The 24456-nt window shown below is 44.0% G+C and overlaps 1 protein-coding gene and 1 pseudogene across 1 annotated transcript in view; one reads left to right on the top strand and one right to left on the bottom strand.

Annotated features, from left to right (window-relative positions):
* The window catches only part of RTF1 (RTF1 homolog, Paf1/RNA polymerase II complex component), a 66469-nt gene that overhangs the window by 12558 nt on the left and 29455 nt on the right, over positions 1-24456 (bottom strand). The window contains exons 3-7 of the mRNA NM_015138.5: positions 17958-18105; positions 13130-13334; positions 6121-6235; positions 4754-4865; positions 614-749 (exon numbers count right to left, since the gene is read on the bottom strand). Of these exons, the coding sequence (NP_055953.3) occupies positions 614-749; positions 4754-4865; positions 6121-6235; positions 13130-13334; positions 17958-18105 (716 nt within the window). The remainder of the gene's footprint in view (positions 1-613; positions 750-4753; positions 4866-6120; positions 6236-13129; positions 13335-17957; positions 18106-24456) is intronic.
* Positions 22162-22264, top strand: RNU6-1169P (RNA, U6 small nuclear 1169, pseudogene; annotated as a pseudogene).

Here is a 24456-nt window from a genome sequence, read left to right as displayed (position 1 = left end):
CAGTAGTATGAGCTGTTTCAAATGAGGCTGCCATCTTAGATAACCCATCAGAGTAAGAAAATGAATGAGCCTGTAATCCCAGCACTTTGGGAGGCCGAGGCGGGCGGATCACGAGGTCAGGAGATCGAGACCATCCCGGCTAAAACAGTGAAACCCTGTCTCTATTAAAAATACAAAAAATTAGCCGGGCGTAGTGGCGGGCGCCTATAGTCCCAGCTACTTGGGAGGCTGAGGCAAGAGAATGGCGTGAACCCGGGAGGCGGAGCTTGCAGTGAGCCGAGATCCTGCCACTGCACTCCAGCCTGGGCGACAGAGCGAGACTCCGTCTCAAAAAAAAAAAAAAAAAAAAAAAAAAGAAAATGAATGAAAGCTCCAGGCCAATCTGAGAATGACACGAAGTCAGTTCCTACCTTCCAGGCCCAGGTGAAATGTCTAAGCGTACAGGCTAGCAGCCAAATGAATGGGCTGACGTGCTGGGGAACTCAGTTCAGCAAACCAAAGGTAACCATGTCAGAGTTAGTGGCCCAACCAGGGAGATTTTGGAAACGATACCAAGCTCTTCCTCAAAAACCCACCTATCCTGCCTACTAGACCAAAATGTACAAGAGCTTACTCCTCTTCTTCATCAGACGATGATGTTCGTGATGAGCGGTCTGACTTTTCACTGGATTTGTCATCCTCTTCCTCCTCTTCATCATCAGAGTAGACCTCACTGGTTTTTAATGGCTGTTTTTTGGCAAGGAGCTCAGCTAGAAAGAAAGAAGAGATGTTTACCTAGGTTTTCTCAACAAGAAAATGAATTCATCCTTGAAAAAGAACTGGAAATGGAAGAGGACTCAAATACACAGCTCCGTCCTCTCTAGACTGGATTGTGCTAACTTGGGGTATATACAGAAATGAGTTAAAACACAGAGTTAAAATTATTCAGGTGCCAAATGTCAGGCCCCAGCAGATGAAAAAAGGGCTGGAAGATTGATACTAGGTGGGCAGAAAGGGTCACCAACACTACTGACAGTTCTCTTTTATGGCACTCAAGACACTTGACTATGGGGAGGAAAGAGGGGGAAAGACTCATGATGACTTCAGAAGCTTCTGAGGAAAATTTAAAATAGGAGAGTGGCTAAATCACCACTGGTACATCTACCAATGAACTACTATGCAGCTATAAAAAAGGAACGTGGGGACGGGTGCGGTGGCTTACGCCTGTAATCTCAGCACTTTGGGAGGCAGAGGCAGGTGGATCACTTGAGGTCAGGAGTTCGAGACCAGCTTGGTCAACATGGTGAAACTCTGTCTCTACTAAAATACAAAAATTAGCCAGGCATTGTGGCCGGCACCTGTTATCCCAGCTACTTGGGAGGCTGAGGCAGGAGAATCGCTTGAACCCGGGAGGCGGAGGTTGCAGTGAGCCAAGACTGTATACCACTGCACTCCAGCCTGGGCAACAGAGCGAGACTCCATCTCAAAAAAAAAAAAAGGAACGTGGCCAGGCATGGTGACTCATGCCTGTAATCCCAGCACTTTGGGAGGTCGAGGTGGGTAGATCACTTGAGCTCAGGGGTTTGGGACCAGCCTGGGCAACATGGTGAATCTGCATCTCTACCAAAAATACAAAAAACAAACCAGGAGTGGTGGCTAAAAAAAAAAGAGAGAGAAAACTGTGTATAATATGCTACCATTAATCTAAGATGGCAGGTTAATCTGTGTACTTACGATTTAAAAAGAAAAAAGAATAATATAAAAAAATTTTAGGCTGGGAGTGTTGGCTCATGCACTTTGGGAGGCCAAGGCAAGGCGGATCACTTAAGGTCAGGAGTTCAAGACCACCCTGGCCAACATGGCTAAACCCCATCTCTACTAAAAATACAAAACAAAATTAGGTGGTGGTGCACGCATGTAGTCTCAGCTACTCAAGAGGCTGAGGTGGGAGAATCGCTTGAACCCGGGAGGTGAAGGTTGCAATGAGCCGAGATCGCGCCACTGCACTCCAGACTGAGTAACAGAGAGAGATCCTGTCTCAAAAAAGAGAGAGAGAAAAAGATGGATGGAAGGAAGGAAAAATAACTGCAATGGATTAAAACACATAAAGCACGTTAAAAATGATGAGTTCACAAGGATATTCAAAATAAATAAAACCCATCAGTCATCTTTGGAAGTTGCTAAAAACTATCTCTCTCTCTCTCTTTAAAATATTGCAGAAACAGGGTCTCACTATGTTGCCCAGGCTGGTCTTGAATTACACATGTGAGCCACTGTACCTTGCCAGGAACTATCTCATTCTTTCAAAAACTGGTAAACGAAAGGAAAATTAATCAAGCATTTATCTTGCCTTTCCTGTTCAAAATGTGCCTGGGGGGTAACTAAATAGCTGATTAGAAGTTTCTCTTTAGGCCGGGTGCGGTGGCTCACACCTGTAATCCCAGCACTTTGGGAGGCCGAGGCGGGCGGATCACAAGGTCAGGAGATCAAGACCATCCTGGCTAACATGGTGAAACCCCTTCTCTACTAAAAATACAAAAAATTAGCTGGGCGTGGTGGCAGGTGCCTGTAGTCCCAGCTACTCAGGAGGCTGAGGCAGGAGAATGGTGTGAACCCAGGAGGCGGAGCTTGCAGTGAGCCGAGATCGCGCCACTGCACTCCAACCTGGGCGACAGAGCGAGACTCCGTCTCAAAAAAAAAAGGTTTCTCTTTATAGAAGCAGGCTAGATAATGAATGAGGAAAGAATGACAGATTCGAAATATCACCATTTTGCAACTCCTAATGAATTAAATTATCTAGGTAATGACCATCAGTGGCTACTAGGACAGAACACGTTATTATTTCTTTTTCTTTTTTTTTGAGACAGAGTCTCACTCTTGTTGCCCAGGCTGGAGTGCAATGGTAGGATCTTGGCTCACTGCAACCTCCACCTCCCGGGTTCAAGTGATTTTCAGTGCCTCAGCCCCACAAGTAGCTGGGATTACAGGCATGTGCTACCACGCCTGACTAATTTTTGTACTTTTAGTAGAGACGGGATTTCACTCTGTTGGCCAGGCTGGTCTCCAACTCCAGACCTCACGTGATCTGCCTGCTCTGACCTCACAAAGTGCTGGGATTACAGGTGTGAGCCACCGTGCCTGGCCTGGCTAATTTTATTATTTTTAGTAGAGATGGGCTTGCACCATGTTGGCCAGGCCGGTCTTGAACTCCTGGCCTCAAGCAATCCTCCAGCCTCAGCCTCCCGAAGTGCTGGGATTACAAGCGTGAGCCACTACACTCAGCCCCACATTATCTTTTGTTGTTTTTTTTTTAAGATTGAGTCTCACTCTGTTGTCCAGGCTGGAGCGCAGTGGCGGAATCTCAGCTCACTGCAACCTCCGTCTCCCGGGTTCAAGGGATTCTCCTGCCTCAGCCTCCTGAGGAGCTGGGATTACAGGCATGCACAACCATGGCCAGCTAATTTTTGTATTTTTTGTAGAGATGGGGTTTCACCATGTTTGCCAGGCTGGTCTCAAGCTCCTGACCTCAGGTGATCCGCCCACCTTGGCCTCCCAAAGTGCTAGGATTACAATTGTGAGGCACCACGACCGGCCCCCACAGTATCCTTTCTAATTCTTCACCCATCTCTATACCCATGTCCTTTGCTATATGCCTTAGTCATTCTTCCCGGCCCCATAGTGACACTATGCCAATTCCAAGTCTAGGCCCTAAGAGGCATGTGTGTCTTTGCTTGCCCCTTTTATACTTCTGTCATCACCATATAAAAGTGCTCGGGGTTTACTGGCCCAGGGAGGAAGAGAGAGGTAGAACAGACCTGGCTACCACCTATAGCTTGGAGATAATTCCAGCTGAACTCATGCCATCAGGAGGGTGAATTGCAGTTGAACTTCAGATGCATGAGCAGAACAGGGGTTAGTTTGTTACTTCACATTATTGTGGTAAGAGCTAACTGACAGGATTGTTAACATCACAAACTGAGAGACAGTCAGATATCATGTGTCTCCTGATGGAAATACATACCACTACCTAAAAATCAGCCTTCCCCAAGAACAAGCAACAATGACAACAACAGAACAAACCCAAATCTGACCAATTCTGTAGCTCTAACTAACCATTTACAGGAAACCCAAGGGACCAGAAACACATTCAACAACAAAAACGAGATGTAGTCAGCAATGTGAGAAACCAGAAGACAAATGACCCAGTTCCTTCAGCAAATAACGCTGCAAGGCAGGGCAAAGAGATGGGGAAGAAAACATACAGATTAAATGCCTTAAGGGACGTATTAACAGATCACAATGTATGGACTTTAAGATCCTGATTCAAGTGGTCTTGTTTTTTAAATTACAAAACAAATAGAAATGTTTTTAAAATCTTGTTTTTTAAATTACAAAACAAATAGAAAAATTTGAACACTGACTAGATATTTGACAAAGAGTTCATTGTTATTTCTAGGTGTAATAATGGTATTATAGTTAGGTTTAAAACAAAAGTACTTATCTTTTAGAGGAACATACTGAAATATTTATGGTTAAAATATAATAATGCTGGTATTTGCTTTAAAATAATCTGATGAAAGGATTATAGATTTAACAAGACTGGCCAAGAGCTGACTGCTGTGGCTGGATGATGGGTTTGTGGATGTTTATACTATTCTGGGTATGTGCTGGAATTTTATATGAGAAAGATATAACAAGAGGGCAAAATGAAAATGGACACCAGGAAGTCAAATCATATAAAGACACAAGTAGCCATTATATTTCCCTCGCTTACCTGTTCTGTTCTTTCGTTTTTCTCGCTCTGCTTTTAGCTCCTCCATGGCTTGAGATTTCTTGTCTAGTTTCTCATCCCGCTTGGAACGCCGTTCCTTGTTGTGGGATGTTACCTAGGAAGGGAAGGATATATAGAATGGCCCTTTTTACCAACAGCTGATAAGATTCTCTAAACCTACTTAATGCATTTAGTCCTCCAACATCAATCTATATGGGCTGCAAAAACTTAGAGCTTTTATGTAAGGGGAGAGAGCATCCTCTTGTGGACAAAGAGGATAGCGCAGTAAAGTAAGCCCTGTCTAAAATGCCTATTCCAAGTTCAAGAATTATCCGAATAAACTCTTTCTGGAAGAACACACTACAACACAGCTAATGTTGGGATTACAGGCATAAGCCACTACACTCAGCCCCACATTATCTTTTTTTGTTGTTTTTCTGAGATGGAGTCTCATTTATGATAAATACAGAGATTATTTTCCCAGCTATATTTATACCAAGTAAAGGATGATATACATCTAAGTAAACATCATAAGCATCTGGCTACCTAGGACAGGTTGTTTACCAACTTTTCCTTAAGGGATGGTCACTCACTAGTGGGCTGCTTTTTTTTTTTAAAACAGAGCCTCGCTCTTCTGCCCAGGCTGGAGGGCCATGGCATGATCTCAGCTCACTGCAACCTCCGCTTCTGAGGTTCAAGCAATTCTTGTGCCTCAGCCCCCCGAGTAGCTGGGATTAAAGGCATAAGCCACCACGCCAGGCTAATTTTTGTATTTTTAGTAGAGACAGGATTTCGCCACGTTGGCCAGGCTGGTCTCAAACTCCTGGCCTTGAGTGATCTGTCTGCCTCGGCCTCTCAAAGTGCTGGGATTACACATGTGAGTCACTGCAGTTGAGGGCTGCTTTTTAAATGCAGACTTCAGTGAAAGCCGGGCACGGTAGCATATGCCTGTAGTCTCAGCAACTCAGGAGGACTGCTTGAGACTAGGAGTTTGAGGCTTCAGTGTGTTATGACTGTGCCAGTGAATAGCCACTGTATTCTAGCCCGGGCAACATAATGAGACCAGGGAAAGGGAAGAGGAAGGGAAGGAGGAAGGGAAGGGGGAAGGAGGAAGGGAGGGGAAGAAAAGGGAAAAAGAAAGAAGAAAGAAAAAAGAAAAGGAAAAAGGAAAGCAAAGGAAAAAGTGCTAAGGATTTAACAGCACAGCTAATGGTGATATGTCCAGAGATTAATGAAACCATGTCACAAGTCTTATAAACTTAGGCTGATTAATATAAATCCACCTTTTACACACACACACACACACACACACACACACACACTCAAAACAGGTTTATTCTTTGGACAATGAGGAACACTGAATCTCCTACCTGAGATTCTTGAATCTGTGTCAGTTTTTTCTTTTCTTGCTCCTCTTCTTGCTTTTTCTTCTTTTCTTTCTTTTCTTTCTTTTTGGCTGTTTTTAGTTTTTTCTTGATTTCAAATCTGGTTAAAAGATATTTGGTTTTTAAGTAGCAATGAAATGTATATAAAAACTGATTTCTATTAGATAGGAGAAAGGAACTAAGGGAAAGGAGCTAATAGATATTTTGGCTTTCCTGCAAGAAACTCTGGTGTACCTTTTAAGTACATTAAAAATATTTAATATGTTAATTACAACAAAATATAAAATATTTGATAGCATTAAGTTGGAATATGTTTAAAATGAGAGACTACGGGCCAGGCACAGGGGCTCACACCTGTAATCCCAGCATTTTGGGAGGCCGAGGCGGGGGGATCAAGAGATCGAGACCATCCTGGCCAACATGGTGAAACCCCGTCTCTACTAAAAATACAAAAATTAGCTGGGCATGGTGGCGCACACTTGTAGTCCCAGCTACTTGGGAGGCTGAGGCAGGAGAATCGCTTTAATCCGGGAGGGAGGTTGCAATGAGCCAAGATCGCGCCACTGCACTCCAGCCTAGCGACAGAGCAAGAATCCGTTTCAAAAAAAAAAAAAGAGAGAGAAAGAGAACATATATAGGGTATTGCTGTACTCATCTGCGCCACTCTAGCCTGGGCGACAGAGTGAGATTCCATCTCAAAAAATAAACAAACAAACAAACAGGCCCGGTGCAGTGGCTCACACCTGTAATCCCAGCACTTTGGGAAACCAAGGTGGACGGATCACGAGGTCAGGAGATTGAGACCATCCTGGCCAAAATGGTGAAACCCCATCTCCACTAAAAATACAAAAATTAGCTGGGCATGGTGGCATGTGCCTGTAATCCCAGCTACTCGGGAGGCTGAGGCAGAAGAATTGCTTGAACCCAGGAGTCGGAGGTTGCAGTGAGCCAAGATCACGCCACTGCACTCCAGCCTGGCGACAGAGTGAGACTCCGTCTTGAAAACAAACAACAAACAAACAACAACAAAAAACACACAATGAAAGACCATTTCACACCCACCAGGATAGCTATTATCACAAAAAGGGAGGCCAGGCACGGTGGCTCACACCTGTAATTCCAGTACTTTGGGAGGCCAAGGCAGGAGGATCACTTGAGTCCAGGAGTTGGAGACTAGCCTGGACAACATGGTGAGACCCTGTCTCTACAAAAATTTTAAAAATTGGCTGGACATGGTGGTACATGCTTGTAGTCCCAGCTACTTGGCAGGCTGAGGTGGGAGAACTGCTTGAGCCCAGGAGATTGAGGCTGCAGCCAGCCATGATCATACCACTGAACTCTAGCTAGCCTGGGCGACAGAGTGAGACCCTGTCTCAACAACAACAAAAAAAGGAAAAGACAAGTGTTAAAGTGTTAGTGAAGAGGTGGAGAAACTAGTACACTTATTGCCGATGGGAAATCTAAAATGATGCAGCTGCAGTTTCTCAAAAAGTTAGAAAGAGTTACCGTACCAGCCAGCAATTCTACTTTCCAGTATACACTCAAAAGAACTGAAAATAGGTACTCAAATTGTTGTATATAAACGTTCACAGCAGCACCAGTCACAATAGCAAAAAGGAGGAAACACCACAAATATAAATCAACAGATGGACAGATAAACAAAATGTGGTATATACATAAAATGGAATATTACTCAGACATAAAAAGGAGTGAAGTACTAATACATGCTAAATGGATAAACCTCAAAAACATACTAAGTGAAAGAAGTCAGTCACAAAAGACTACATATTATGATTTCATTTATATAAAATATCCAGGTCGGCCATGGTGGCTAATGCCTGTAATCTAAACACTTTGGGAGGCCAAGGCAGGAGGACTGCTTGAGGCTAGGAGTTCAAGAATAGCCTGGACAACATAGCGAGACCTCTTCTTTAATAAAAGTTTAAAAAATTGGCCAGGTGGTGGCACACGCCTATAGTCCCAGCTACTTGGGAGGCTGAGGTGGGAGGATTGCTTGAACACAGGAGGTCGAGGCTTCAATGAGCTATAATCATGCCACAGCACTCCAGCCTGGGTGACAGAACGAGACCCTGTCTTGATAACAACAACAATAATAATAAACATATCCAGAATAGGCAAATCTAGAGAGACAGAAAGGAGATTAGTGGTTGCCTAGGGCTGGGAGGCTTATGGGGAAATACAGGAGTGACAAAATGCTCTAGAATTAATTGTGGTGATGATTGCACAACTCTGTGGACATATAAAAACCAATGAATTATACACTTTAAGTGGGTTATTTTAAACAAAGTTATTTTTTAGAGTTAGTGATAGTTTACATTTACATAATGTTCTTATGTATATAATCTCTCTTGAGGTTTACAACAACCCCCAGGAGGAAGCTGAGGCAGGAAGAGAAAGTGATTTAACTCCGATCACCCCTCCAGCGAGTCTGACTTGACCCCTAGACCTTCTAACTGCAATGTCAGTGCCCTTTCTACAACCAGGCTACCTTTTATGCTTCCTGCCCCCATGAATAATCTAACAACTGAAAATGACATCTCACTACTGGTGCTGCTGGCTAGAGAACAGGATGCTAATGGTGCTTACATAAAAAAGACTACAAAGATTAAATGCAATCCATATAAAGAGCTTTTAAAGTAAAAAAGATTCAGGAAATTCCAGAGTTTCCATATTGCACTGCCCTGAAGCTAAACAAACGAACTACTAAAATATCAATTTTCTATGATGGCTCTGAACCTCTGTCTTAATAATCAGCACACTAAACCATTCTTATAGTCACTAAAAAAAGTCACTGAAGCTGGGGGTGGTGGTTCACACCTGTAACCCCAGCATTTTGGGAAGCCGAGGTGGACGAATTGCTTGAGGCCAGGAGTTCAAGACCAGCCTGGGCAACATGGCAAACCCCCCCTCTCTAAAAAAAAAAAAAAAAGAAAAAAAAATTACAGGGCCAGGAGAGGTGGCTCACGCCTGTAATCCCAGCACTTTGGAAAGCCGAGGTGGGTGGATCACCTGAGGTCAGGAACTCCAGACCAGCCTGGCCAATATGAAAAATTAGCCAGGCCGGCGGGCACGGTGGCTCACACCTGTAATCCCAGCACTTTGGGAGGCCAAGGCAGGCAGAACACGAGGTCAAGAGATCAAGACCGTCCTGGCTAACACGGTGAAACCCCATCTCTACTAAAAATACAAAAAATTGGCTGGGTGTGGTGGCGGGCGCCTGTAAACCCAGCTACTTGGGAGGCTGAGGCAGAATAGCATGAACCCGGGAAGCGGAGCTTGCAGTCAGCCGAGGTTGCGCCACTGCACTCCAGCCTGGGGGACAGAGCGAGACTCAGTCTCAAAAAAAAAAAAAGAAAGAAAAATTAGCCAGGCCGGTGTGGTGGCTCACGCCTGTGATCCCAGCACTTTGGGAGGCCAAGGCAGGAGGATCATTTAAGGTCAGGACTTGGAAACCAGCCTGGCCAACATAGTGAAACCCTGTCTCTACTTAAAATACAAAAATTGGCCAGGCACAGTGGCTTACGCCTGTAATCCCAGCACTTTGGGAGGCAGAGGCGGGTGGATCATCTCAGGTCAGGAGGTGGATGGAGACCAGCCTGGCCAACATGGTGAAACCCCGTCCCTGCTAAAAATACAAAAATTAGCTGGGCGTGGTGGTGGGCGCCTGTAATCCCAGCTACAGGGGAGGCTGAGGCAGGAGAATTGCTTGAACCCGGGAGGCAGAGGTTGCAGTGAGCCGAGATTGTGCCATTGCACTCCAGCCTGGGCAACAAGAGCAAAACTCCATCTCAAAAAAAAAAAAAAAAATTAGCTTGACATAGTGGCGCATGCCTGTAATCCCAGCTACACAGGAGGCTGAGGCAGGAGAATCACTGAACCTGGTAGGCGGAGGTTGCAGTGAGCCAAGATCGTGTCACTGCATTCCACCCTGGGCAACAGAGTGAGACTCCATCTCAAAAAAAAAAAAAAAGAAAAAAAAGAAAAAATATTAGCCAGGCATGGTAGCCTACAGCCTGTAGTCCCAGCTACTTGGGAGGCTGAGGTGGGAGGCTGGCTTGAATCCAGGAGGTGGCAATTGTAGTGAGCCGAGTTCACACCACTGCACTCCTGCCTGGACAACAAAGCCAGACTCTGTCTAAAAAAAAAAAAAATTTTTTTTTAAGAAGTCACTGAATCAGTCAACTGTCTCATTCACGTAAGGTGAAAAACATAAAAACTAAGTTTGAGACAAGCCACCTATTACCCTTGAGCTACTTTGTGATTTTGTCATAGGACTTATTGGCCTTACACGACAACATCTTACTATGCTTTCCACAGTTCAGATATACAAATTTTAAACCATCTGGTAACTCCAGCACAGTTTATTAAGTCCTATTTGTTCCAATATAGGTAAACTTGGAAGGATTCACACTCAAAACAAATGTTGAAGCCGAGCGCGGTGGCTCACACCTGTAATTCCAGCACTTTGGGAGGCTGAGGCAGGTGGATCACTTGAGGTCAGGAGTTTGAGACCAGCCTGGCCAACATGGTGAAACCCTGTCTCTACTAAAAATACAAAAATTAGCCGGGCGTTGTGGCGGGCGTCTGTAATCCCAGCTGCTTGGGAGGCTGAGGCAGGAGAATCACTTGAACCCAGGAAGTGGAGGTTGCAGTGAGCCGAGATCGTGCCATTGCACTCCAGCCTGGGCAACAAGAATGAAAGTCTGTCTCAAAAAAAAAAAAAAAAAACAAAAACAAAAACAAAAATCAAATGTCTATTGCTTGCTGCTGACTGAAAGCCAAACATTCTTCTCTAGGATAACTCAGCATACTTAATATGGTCTCCAGAAGGGACAAACAAAACTCCCAGATGAAAAGGAACTAAGTGCTGCCAAAGAAAATGCTTCTATTCTCCTTTCATAAGATTAAATAGGTAGGATCCTTGTTCTGAGGGCTATTTTATTTCCAAGACAAAAGCCAAGTTTATTTTTACCTTGAAATTCTGTTAGGAGATAAGGAAGAACTACTGCCATATTTAAAACTTTTCCATTTAAAATATGGCAAAAGTTCAAAACATTGAAGCAGCTTCTAAATATCAAAAAGTAATTTAACACTTGACTTTTTAAAAAAATACAAAAACCATGCTAGAGGATAGTCAGATACCTAACTTGTACATAATGAGGAGAAATTCCAAGTCTTGAATCCTGTGAAGACAGGGCTCCAAATATGAATTTTGGAAAATTATTTCAACCTAGGAGCGTGAACAATTTGAAGCCAATTTGTAAAATATAAAGCTTTAAAACACCATTTGTTCATTTAATTTTTACATATCATTTGATGTGTTCCCATATTACTCTCAATCATTACTGTATTCATGTTCTAAAACCAACGCAATCTTATGATTACTTCAATACTTTTTGCTCAGTAGAAATCAAATCACGTACTGATCTTTATCAAGACAAAAACAATCTCTATAATTCCCCTCCCTTTTTTTTGACACAGGGTCTCACTCTGTCACCCAGGCTGGAGTGCAGTGGTGCAATCTCAGCTCATTGCAAACTCTACATTCCGGGCTCAAATGATACTCCTGCTGACTCAGCCTCCCAAGTACCTGGGACTACAGGCATGGGCCACCATGCCTGACTATTTTTTGTAGGAGAGAGCGTTTTGCCATGTTGCCATGACTGGTCTTGAATTCCTGGAATCAACTGATCCACCCACCTCAGCCTCCCAAAGTGCTGGGATTACAGGTGTGAGCCGCCGCGCCAGGCCTGTAATTCCCTTTATTTTTTATTTTTTGAGACGGAATCTCCCTCTGTCGCCCAGGCTGGAGTCCAGTGGCATAATCTTGGCTCACTGCAACCTCCGCCTCCTGGGTTCCAGCCATTCTCCTGCCTCAGGATCCCGAATAGCTGGGATTACAGATGCGTACGACCATGCTTGGCTAATTTTTTGTATTTTTAGTAGAGATGGGTTTCACCATGTTGGCCAGGCAGGTCTCGAACTCCTGACCTCAAGTGATCCGCCCGCCTTGGCCTCCCAAAGTGCAGGGATTACCAGTGTGAGCCACCACACTTGGCCTGTAATTCCTTTTATTTATTTATTTTTATTTTTATTTTTTATTGAGACAGAGTCTCGCTCTCACCAAGGCTAGAGTGCAGTGGCGCCATCTCAGCTCACTGCAACCTCCATCTCCTGGGTTGAAGCAATTCTCCTGCCTCGGCCTCCTGAGTAGCTGGGACTACGGGTGCACAACACCACACCAGGCTAATTTTTTTGTATTTTTAGTAGAGATGGGTTTTCACCATGTTGGCCAGGCTGGTCTAGAACTCCTGATCTCTGGTGATCCGTCCACCTCGGCCTCCCAAAGTATGTAATTCCCTTTAGAATGCTGCCTGTAGTGCGGTGTTACAGAATAGGTAAAATGACAGGAAATGTGACGCAGGAGAGGATATGGCCACAGCGTGTTTTATGGTGTCAGATGGTCCCAGGTTTGAAATCCAGTTCTACCACTTACCAGCTAAATCACCTTGGGCAAGTTTCTTCATTCATTCACTCAACTAGTATTTAGTGCATATCTCTGTGCCAGGTACTGTTCTAGGCACTAAGAATAGAGTGGCGAAAAGGACAAAGTCTCTCCCTTCATGCAGCTTACTCTTTAGTTACCTAATGTCTCTAAGCCTAAGCGTCTACCTCTGTAATATGGTATAACCAACTTCACAGAGCAGTTGTGAAGATTAAATAGTGCACATAAATAATGTCTTATGAATAAAACCTTCTGAATAACGTACATTAGTAAACAAAGCCAGTGGCACTGAGTAAATAATGAATGTGATTGAAATTTAATACATCACTTGCGTCTCATCATGTTAACAGTCAATTCCAAATGCCAGTCTCCATGTGTAGGTCAGGTGTGAAGGACAGGGAAGTATGAGAAAAGAGATGAACAGAAAAGGTGGGGGCGGGGGGGGGACAACGACGAGGACAACCTTACCTTCTTTTCAACACCTCCCTCTTCTCTATGCGATTGAACAGTTCTTGCTCTCTCTCTTTCTCTGTCATCTGTTCCAGACGGGCCCTGTCTTCCTCATCTCCCATGAGGTCTTCTCCATAGCCATCATGGAACTCTTCATCTTCTGAGGAAGAGTCTGAATCTGAACTGGAAGAGGAGCTGTTGCTGTCAGAGTCTGACACTTCACCTGCAACAAAGGCCCAAACACAAGATTACACTATGCTACAGAAGACAGGCCACAAGCGGCTCCACAATGTTGACAACATCACCCTTCTTTCAGCTACAGTAAGAAACCAGTTTGTTATTTTACTTATTTGTTTTTACTTTTTTTTTGAGATGGAGTTTTGCTCTTATTGCCTAGGCTGGAGTGCAGTGGCACAATCTCAGCTCCTCCACCTCCCGGGTTCAAGCGATTCTCCTGCCTCAGCCTCCCAAGTAGCAGGGATTACAGATGTGTGCCACCACACCCAGCTAATTTTGTATTTTTATTGGAGACGGGGTTTCACCATATTGTTCAGGCTGGTCTCGAACTCCTGACCTCAGGTGATCTGCCCACCTCGGCCTCCCAGTGCTGGGATTACAGGCGTGAGCCACTGCGCCTATTTATTTTTACTTTTTAAATAGAATTGGGGTCTCGCTTTGTTGCCAAGGCTGGTCTCGAACTCTTGGGCTCAAGCAATCCTCCTGACTTGGCCTCCCAAAGTGCTGGGATTACAGGCTTACGCCTGTGTAAGCCACCACACCTGGCCCCATCTTATTTATTATTATTATTATTGAGACGGAGTCTCACTCTGCCCCAGGCTGGAGTGCAGTGGTGTGATCTCAGCTCATTGCAACTTCCACCTCCCTGGTTCACAAGCGATTCTCCTGCCTCAGCCTCCTGCGTAGCTGGGACTACAGGTGCACGCCACCACGTCCAGCTGATTTTTGTATTTTTAGTAGAGATGGGGTTTCACCGTGTTGGCCAGGATGGTCTCGATCTCTCAACCTCGTGATCCGCCCACCTTGGCCTCTCAAAGTGCTGGGATTACAGGTGTGAGCCACCATGCTCGGCCTATTTATTTTGTTTGAGATGGAGTTTTTGCTTGTCACCCAGGCTGGAGTGCAGCAGCGCGATCTCGGCTCACTGCCATCTCCACCTCCCCGGTTCAAACAGTTCTCCTGCCTCAGACTCCCGAGTAGCTCAGGCGCTCACCACTACACTCAGCTAATTTTTATATTTTCAGCAGAGATGGGGTTTCACCATGTTGGCCAGGTTGGTCTTGAACTCCTGACCTCAAGTGATCCGCTCGCCTTGGCCTCCCAAAGTGCTGGAATTACAGGCGTGAGCCACTGCGCCTGGCCCCCAGCAGTTCTTTTTTTTTTTTTTTGAGACAGAGTCTCTCTCTGTCGCCCAGGCTGGAGTGCAGTGGCACGATCTCGACTCAGCGCAAGCTCCGCCTCTCGGGTTCATGCCATTCTCCTGCCTCAGCCTCCTGAGTAGCTGGGATTATAGATGCCCACCACCACGCCTGGCTAATTTTTTTGTATTTTTTTAATAGAGATGGGGTTTCACCATGTTAGCCAGGATGGTCTCAATCTCCTGACCTCATGATCCGCCGACCTCAGCCTCCCAAAGTGCTGGGATTACTGGCATGAGCCACTGCGCCCAGCCTTTTTTTTTTTTTTGAGATGGAGTTTCACTTTTGTTGCCTAGGCTGATCTCAGTTACTGCAACCTCTACCTCTCGGGTTCAAGCAATTCTCCTGCCTCAGCCTCCCAAGTAACAGGGACTACAGGCACATGCCACCACGCCCGGCTAATTTTTCTATTTTTAGTAAAGATGAAAATATGTTGGTCCAGCTGGTCTCGAACTCCTGACCTCAGGTGATCCCCGTCTTGGCCTCCCAAAGTGCTGGGATTACAGGTGTGAGCCGCCGCACCTGGCCTGATTACATGGATAAGTTCTTTAGTGGTGATTTCTGAGATTTTGGTGTATCTATCACCCAAGCAGTGTACACTGTACCCAATATGTACTCTTTTAACCCTCACTCCCTCCCCAAGTCCCCAATGTCCATTATATCATTCTTTTTTTTTTTTTTGGAGACAGAGTCTCACTCTATTGCCTGATCTCGGCTCACTGCAACCTCCTCTTTAAGCGATTCTTGGGGCTCAGCCTCCTGAGTAGCTGGGACCACAGGAGCGCACCACCATGCTTGGCTAATTTTTGTATTTTTAGCAGAGACAGGGTCTCACTGTGTTGGCCAGGCTGGTCTCAAACTCCTGACCTCAAGTGATCCACCTGCCTTGGCCTCCCACAGTGCTGGGACTACAGGCGTGAGCCACTACACCTGGCCCCATTATATCATTCTATGCCTTTGCATCCTGATGGCTTAAACACCACTTATACATGAGAACATACTATATTTGGTTTTCCGTTCCTTAGTTACTTCACTTAGAAAAATGGCCTCCAGCTCCACTGAAGTTGCTGCAAAGGCCATTATTTCATTCCGTTTTGTGGCTAATATCCCATGGCATACATACACATTTTCTTTTTTTTTTTTTTGGAGACAGAGTCTCACTCTGTCACCAGGCTGGAGTACAGTGGGGTGATCTCGGCTCACTGCAACCTCCAACTCCCTGGTTCAAGCGATTCTCCTGCCTCAGCCTCCAGAGTATTAGGGATTACAGGTAGGCACCACCATGCTGAGCTAATTTTTGTATTTTTAGTAGAGACGGGGTTTCACCATGTTGGCCAGGATGGTCTCAAACTCCTGACCTTGTGATCCGCCTGCCTTGGCCTCCCAAAGTGCTGGGATTACAGGTGTGAGCCACCATGCCCGGCTGGCATACATACACATTTTCTTTATCCACTTGTTGGTGCACTGAATTTTTGAAGAGTATAAGCCCCAAAAAATTGTCTAGTAGAATTCTGTGAGGTGGTGATGAAAATTTTGTCTATCTGAACAGCAGCCACCACATATGGGTATTCACAAACTCAAATGTGGCTAGTGCAACTGAAAAACTAAATTTTAAACATGACTTTTTAGTTAATTTAAGTTGAAATAGCAACAGTTATCAAATGTCCACTTCATTTGGTTTGGTTGATTTGTTAAGAAACAATTCAGGTTATGAATTTTTGGCAAGAATACTCCATAAGTGATTGTGTCCTTTTCAATGTATCACATCAGGAAGCCCTAACATCTGTTTGTCCCATTATTTTAATTTGGATTACTTGGTAAAGGTGGTGTCTCCCAGATTTTCCCTTTGTAAAGGCACCTTTTCCTCTTTGTGTAATAGTATGTATAGGCAGAAGGTTTAAGACTATATAATTTTGTTTTCCAACAAACTCTCACCCAGTGGTTTTAACAATCATTGAGGATTCTTGAGTAAATCAACTTTATCACTATGATTGAAAAGTGGTGATTCTTCTAACCCTATAATTTCTTTTTTATTTATTAGCTGGCATTAAAAAAAAAATTTTTTTATGGCCGGGTGTGGCGGCTCACACCTGTAATCCCAGCACTCTGGGAGGACAAGGCAGGTGGATCACCTGAGGTCAGGAGTTCAAGACCAGCCTGGCCAACATGGTGAAACCCCATCTCTACTAAAAATATAAAAAATTAGCTAAGTGTGCTGGTGAGCATCTGTAATCCCAGCTGCTTGAGGCAGAATAATCTCTTGAACCCCGGGACACAGAGGTTGCAGTGAGCCAAGAACGCGCCATTGCACTCCAGCCTGGGCAACAAGAGCGAAACTCTGTCTCGATAATAAATTAAAAAAATAAAAAATAAAAAAACACATTTTAATGAACAATTAAAAATTGATTAGTGAATTTATCATAATAGTAGATCTTAACAGGACAAATGTTGGCATGGAAAAAGTATGTGAGTACAATGAGTATTGAACTAAGTCAGCAATTTAACAGGAACTGCCCTTGACTCAATTTGAGCTAACATTCATAGGCATGTGCTCAAAACCGGGTTAGGCCAATTTTATAAAGTCAGCTTTTATGTAAACATTATTTTTAAAAATGTTTTTAAAATTTTTATAATTTACAGGTTATCATTCTAGTCCTGGAACAAGTTCACTTCTATTTTCTCTTCCAGTGTCCCTGCATTTTTCTTTTTTTTTTTTCCTACTTTTTTTTGTTGTTGTTGAGAAAGGGTCTTGCTCTGTCACTGGAGTGCAGTGGTGTGATCATAGCTCACAGTAACCTCGAAGTCCTGGGCTCAAGCAAGCCTCTCGCCTCAGCCTCCTAAGTAGTTGGGACCTCAGGTGCATACCATAACACCCAGCTAATTTTTAAATTTTTTTGTAGAGATGGGATCTCACTATGTTACCCAGGCTAGTCCTGAACTCCTGGGCTCAAGCGATCCTCCCACCTTGGCCTCCCAAAGTGTTGAGATTACAAATATGAGCCATTGCACCTGGCCCAAGTTCACTTTTCAAACTAGTGTTGAAAAATTCTGGAATTGGCTTCCAGAAAAGGAACATTTTCTACTGAGATTCCCTCCTCAGTCAGACTATGCATAAGCAAGAAAAAAAGGGGAGGGAAAGGCACTCAGGGTATTCAAGACTAATGCAGGAATCCTCGTGGGTTCCAGGGATAGGTTTCAGGGGTCTCACCAACCTTTGGAATTGCATGCATTTTTCTTGCTTCATTCAGATTCTCAAAGCATCCATGACCATGGAAAAAGTTAAGAACCACTGCTCTAAAGAAGAGGTCATGCTGAATGCAAGTACCCCCCTTCCTCCCCACTTCTGCCTTTGCACCTTCAAGCTGACAAGAGTGGGAGTTGACCTTCCAGGTCTAGGCTGCTCAGCTCACCTTCCTCAGGGGCTGAGCTCTCAGCTGAACTGTCTTTGTCTGAACTGCCTGAGGAGGCAGTTTTGTTGGCCTGTTTCTTCATGGTTCCTTTCTTCTCTATTTTTCTGGCTTTTCCTTTCTTCTTATTTTTATTGCTCCCAAATGTCCACTATAAGGAGAAAAGAAAAAGGAAGACTGAAATAGGAATAGGGACTTTATTGGGAAAAGCTGGAAGACTCAAGAGTTAAGAGTCTCTGGCATTCATCTTTGAATCCAAAACAAATACACTTCATATGAAAAAAAATACAGATTTTTGAAAAAAAAAATTTTTTTTTTGAAACAGGGTCTCATTCTATTGTCCAGGCTGGAGTGCAGTGGCACAGTCTTGGTTCACTGCAACCTCTGATTCCCAGGCTCAAGCCATCCTCCCACTTTAGCCTCTGGAGTAGTTGGGACTACAGGTGTGCCCCACCACGCCCAGCTAATTTTTGTATTTTTTGTAGAGACGGGGTTTCACTATGTTGCCCAGGCTGGTCTTGAACTCCTGAGCTCAGACAATCCTCCTGTATCGGCCTCCCAAAGTGCTGGGATTACAGACATGAGCCACTGCACCTGGCATAGATTTTTGTTTTTGAGACAAGGTCTCGCTCTGTCACCCAGGCTAGAGTGCAGTGGTGCGATCTCGGGCTCTTAGCAGCCTTGACCTCCCAGGATCAACTTATCCTCCTGCCTCAGCCTCCCAAGTAGTTGGGACCATAGGCGTGTACCACCACACCCGGCTAAGCTGTGTATTTTTTGTAGAGACAGGGTTTCACCACGTTTCCCAGGCTGGTCTTAAACTCCTGAGCTCAAGCAATTTGCCTGCCTTGGCGTCCCAAAATGCTGGGATTACAGGTGTGAGCCACTGTGCCTGGCCCCAGCCTAGATTTTTGAAAACTTGCTTAAAACTTTAGAACTTCTGGTCTGGAATCTCTTAGAAACAAGAGAAAAGTTGCATAATAAACATATAATTTAATTATTATTTTTTCTTTTTTTTTTCAGACAGGTTCTTGCTATGTTGCCTAGGCTGGCCTTGAACTCCTGGGCTCAAGTGATCCTCTCACCTGAGCCTCCTAAGTAGCTGGAACTACAGGTGCGCAACACAGCACCCAGCTCATGTATGTTTTATTGCCAATAGAAAACAGAAAAGATATCAACTTTATGGCAAGTCAAAAAACACTTCTGATGTTTTATGTGGCAGAGATGGCAGTAATTGTTAATGGCTGATATGTCTGGGTTTCAGTACAGAGAATGGTTTAGTTCTGGGGTGGGTCTCAGGAAGGCAGTGAATGTAGCTTGTGCCCAGGAGAAAACTGCAGAAAGCACAGTGAGAAAGGATGAAGGCCATTCTTTGGCATGAATGGCAGCACTGGCACTAACTCCAAAGAGGCAGAAAGTAAAGTACATCATTAAATATATGTGCATATACTTTTTAAAACATTGGCATATATTACACAATAACATGACACTTAAACTGGATCAGAAACAGGAAATCCCAGAAATCAAGACATAAGGAACCTGTAATTTGCACTGTCAAACAGGCAGGCAATACAGTTAACTACCCCAAGGCCAAAAAACCATCTTCATCAAGCACTTTAATTATAAGTTGAAAGGCCATACAACCACTTTACAAATTTGCAGACTATTTAGTTACATTAAACCATATCTCCTTCGATATTTTAACTTGCCAACTTAAAATGATTTTAGGTGAAAAATACTTTACTCAGAAACTTTATTCTAATTACCATAAAGAATAATCATCTTTTGATTATCACAGACTGAATATTAAGTCTGGTATTAACGTAATATTTCTACATCTAATATCCAACAAAGGCACAAAGTCTTTGTTCCTTCTATAATAGGATGAGAAATTAACCTCCTATTTCACAATAGGTAATAGAAGAAGTAAATTCTTTTGATCTTTTTTTGAGGGGGTGGGGTTGGGTAGAGGTGTAGTTCTGAAGATGTTTCCAACTTAGAAATTTTCCATATGAGCTATTCTTAAGAACAACAGTCAGCTAGTTTACCTTCACAAAACATTGTAAAAGGGTGCTATTTTTAATCTTTTTTTTTGTTTTTGAGCCAGGGTCTCGTTTGTCACCCAGGCTGGAGTGCAGGGCAGCAGGATGATAGCTCACTGCAGCCTTGACCTCCCAGGTTCAAGTGATCCTCCTACCTCAGCCTCCTGAGTAGCTGGGACTACAGGTGTGCACCATCATGCCCAGCTAATTTTTAAATTTTTTTGTAGAGACAGGGTCTTGCTATGTCACTAAGGCTGGTCTCAGACTCCTAGACTCATACAATCCTCCAGCCTTGGCCTCCCAAAGTGCTGGGATTACAGGCACAAGCCACCTTGCACAGCCCTAATGCTTCCCTTTTAAGTCTGAGTTTTCAACCATTTCACATTTTAATCATTTCAAGGAAGATAATTTTTTTTTTTTTTTTTGAGACGGAGTCTCACTCTGTCGTCCAGGCTGGAGTGCAGTGGTGCAATCTTGGCTCACTGCAAGCTCCGCCTCCCCGGTTCACGCCATTGTCCTGCCTCAGCCTCCCGAGTAGCTGGGATTACAGGCATATGCCACCACGCCCGGCTAATTTTGTATTTTTAGCAGAGACGGGGTTTCTCCATGTTGGTCAGGCTGGTCTCGAACTCCCAACCTCAGGCTGGACCTTGGACTCCCGATCTGCCTGCCCTGGCCTCCCAAAGTGCTGGGATTACAGGCATGAGCCACCGCACCTGGCCTAAAACTTCTTATATCTTACAGTACTGAGAAGTTGGAGTGCCGCTACTTGTATATTTACTTTGTGTTTTATTTCATTTTATTTTTTATTTTTGAGACTGGGTCTTGCTCTGTTGACCAGGCTGGAATGCAGTGGCATGATCATAGCTCACTGCAGCCTTGAATTACTGGGCTCAAGAGATTCTCTCATCTCAGCCTCCTGAGCAGCTGAGATTACAGGTGCATGCCACTATACCTGGCTAATTTGTTAACTTTTTGTAGAGAGGAGGTCTCACTATGTTACCAAGGCTAGTCTCAAACTCCTAAGTTCAAGCAATTCTCCTGCCTCAGTCTCCCAAATTCTGGGATTACAAGCATGAACCACTGCGCCCAGCCTGTATTTTATTTTTAATAAAACTTTAAAATATAATTTTAATAATAATAAATGTTCATTATATTAGGCCTTAAAAATATAGAAAAGTTGTTTGCTTTTTGTTTTCTTTTCGTTTTTATGATGAGGTCTCACTATGTTGCCCAGGCTGTACTCAAACTCCTGGGCTCAAGTGATATTCCCGCCTCAACCTCCTGAGTAGCTATTACTAGAGAAACACACCACAGTGCACAACCAGAAAAGTATTTGTAAAGTTGGGGAAAAAAAAAAATCACCAGGCCAAGTGTGGTGGCTCACACCTATAATCCCAGCACTTTGGGAGGCCATAGTGGGAGGATCACTTGAACACAGGAGTTGGAGACCACCCTGTGAAACATAGCAAGACCCCACCTCTATTTAAGGAAATATATTTTTTAATTTAAAAAATCACCTGCTGCCGGCTGGGCAGATCACGAGGTCAGGAGATCGACACCATCCTGGCTAACACGGTGAAACCCCGTCTCTACTAAAAATGCAAAAAAATTAGCCGGGCATGGTGGCGGGCGCCTGTAGTCCCAGCTACTTGGGAGGCTGAGGCAGGACAGTGGTGTGAACCCGGGAGGCGGAGCTTGCAGTGAGCCGAGTTCGTACCACTGCACTCCAGCCTGGGCAACAGAGCGAGACTCTGTCTCAAAAAAAAAAAAAAAAAAAAATTCACCTGCCTCCACAACAGGGACAAAAAAAATAAAATAAAATAGGCTGGGCGCAGTGGCTCACGCCTGAAATCCTAGCACTTTGGGAGGCCGAGGCAGGCTGATTGCTTGAGCTCAGGGTTCAAGACTAGCCTGGGCAACATGGTGAAACCTAGTCTTTACAAAAAATACAAAAATTAGCTGGGCGTGATGGCGAACGCTTATAGTCCCAGCTATTCAGGAGGCTAAGGTAGGAGAATGGCTTGAGCCCACGAGGTCCAGGGTGCAGTGAGCCAAGATCACGACACTGAACTCCAGCCTGGGTGACAGAGTGAGAGCTGATCTCAAATAAATAAATTAATTAATTTAATTTAATATAAAAATTAATTTTAAAAAAATAATCTCTGCTCGCTTCAGCAGCACATATCTAAAATTAGAATACAGAAAAGATTAGCATGGCCCCTGTGCAAAGATGACATGCAAATTCGTGAAATATTCCCTATTTTTTGTTTTGTTTTGTTTTGTTTTTCAAGATGGAGTCTCGCTCTGTCACCCAAGCTGGAGTGCAGTGGCGTGATCTAGGCTCACTGCAACCTCCGCCTCCTGGGTTCAAGGGATTCTCCTGCCTCAGCCTCCCGAGTAGCTGGGAACGTAGTCACCTGCCCCCACACCCAGCTAATTTTTGTATTTTTAGTAGAGACAGGGTTAGTAGAGCCACTATACCCGGGCGAAAATGAGAATTGCTGTGAGTCTGTTCTCTCACCATATTGTTCAGGCTGGTCTCAAACTCCTGACCTCAGGGGGTCTGCCTGCCTCGGCCTCCCAAAATGCTGAGATTACAGGCGTTAATCACCGTTCCCGGCCAACATTTCCCATTTTTTTAAATTTTATTTTTTTAATCACCTGTATAGCCACCACTCAATGATAAATGATCACTTAAAAAATCTGGAAGCCAGTCTCAGTATTATTCTTATTTAATTCAGGGAAAGAGACACAAATAGGTCCCAATAATCTCCCAAAGATTTTTTTTCTCAAGAATAGATCATTTACTCCCATAAACGAGAGATTCCTGAATGCTTTTTTGTCTAAGCACACACTTAAAATATTTGCTCTGTACCTCTTCTCCCAAGAACAGAGTCTAAGCAGAATTGATATGGAAATATCTTAATCCAGCTATTAGTCCAGAGATGGCTCACCCATCCCTGCAAAAATCTTATTCACCTGATTCTGAGACAGAGGGAAAATGAATGATTTCACCAGGATGTAGTAGTAAATGGGATCTAAAGAATAAAGGAAAGAATTAAAGGGATGCTCTTATACTTTCCCCATCCAGAAGGAAGTAGAGAAAATGACCTTGCACTTCTTAATCTGTTTTGAGAAGTATGGTTCTACTGAAAGGTAAGCTCTGTTATAACCTTCAAACTGCCCTCAAATGCACCAAACATAAGCCAAGAATGAGAAAATGAGCACCCACCGGTGTGCATCTGAACCAAGTACAGAGGCCAGAGGATCTCCCAATGACCACTGCTCAAAAACCATCTGGGTAAAGGAAAGGATCCATTGTCAGGACTCTTGTACACACTGACATCCTGCTTTCCTAGGTGTACATGTATGCAACCCCACAGAACACCAGAAAAGTATTTTGTAAATATGCAATGAAGAAAACTTAAAAAGAGACTGGATGGAATATGTTTTCTTCCTAATAACAGAGATCAGCAGTTTGACTCTCACTGATGTAACAGGTATTTTAATGGGCAACAATTACCTAGTGAAACAAGGAAGGTGAGTACTATATTCCCCCATGTCACGCTGAGTGTGTATAGAATGTTATAAGCAGGTCCCCATTCTGTGAAGCAGCTATCCTTCTGGGCACGCAACTGAAAGATGGGAAGAAACACAAGGCGGGGACTGGTTGCTCTGGAATAGGGTGGCATTGAGATGCTGAGTATTTTGAGCATGATGAAGGCAGGAAAGTAAAGAAACTTCAAGATTTCAGAGAGCAAATTATCTCTAATGAGCAAGGAATACCCATATTCCTAGGTCTCAGGACCCAGCATAGAAACCATTCCAACCCAGTGACTCTGAACTGAATTTACAAGTGAAATAAAATACCTTTCAGTAAGTAAGGTTCAAGAATAACAGCTGGGGCTGGGCGTGGTGGCTCATGCCTGTAATCCCAACATTCTGTGAGACTGAGGCAGGTGGATCACTTGAGGTCAGGAGTTCAAGACCAGCCTGGCCAACATGGTGAAACCCTGACTCTACTAAAAATACAAAAATTAGCCAGGCCTGGTGGTGGGCGCCTATAATCCCAGTTACTCAGGAGGCCAAGGGAGGAGAATTGCTTGAACCTGGGAGGTGGAGGTTGCAGTAAGCCAAGATCGTGCCATTGCACCCCAGCCTGGGTGACAGAGGGAGACTCCGTCTCAAAAAAAAAAAAAAAAATAACAGCTGGGCTAGTGACAAACTACACTGGGATTAGGGTCTAAAGAAATGGGATAGAGCCCAAGCCTCTAACCAGAGAGTATCTCCTTATCTGTAAAGTAGGAATAATAACACTGCCTTGACCACCTACCAGGGTAGTGTGAGACTAAAAGGAGAGAGAATAAGACAAGTTTTAGCGCACACTAGAAACCAGGAAGTTCTACATACATGTGAGGTACTATTTTATGAAAATAATTTTTTTTTTTTGAGACGGA

Source organism: Homo sapiens, chromosome 15, assembly GCF_000001405.40.
Source record: "Homo sapiens chromosome 15, GRCh38.p14 Primary Assembly".
NCBI classification, from domain to species: domain Eukaryota; kingdom Metazoa; phylum Chordata; class Mammalia; order Primates; family Hominidae; genus Homo; species Homo sapiens.
The sequence above is the reverse complement of the archived record's forward strand: the minus strand, read 5'-3'. Positions and strand labels throughout refer to the sequence as shown.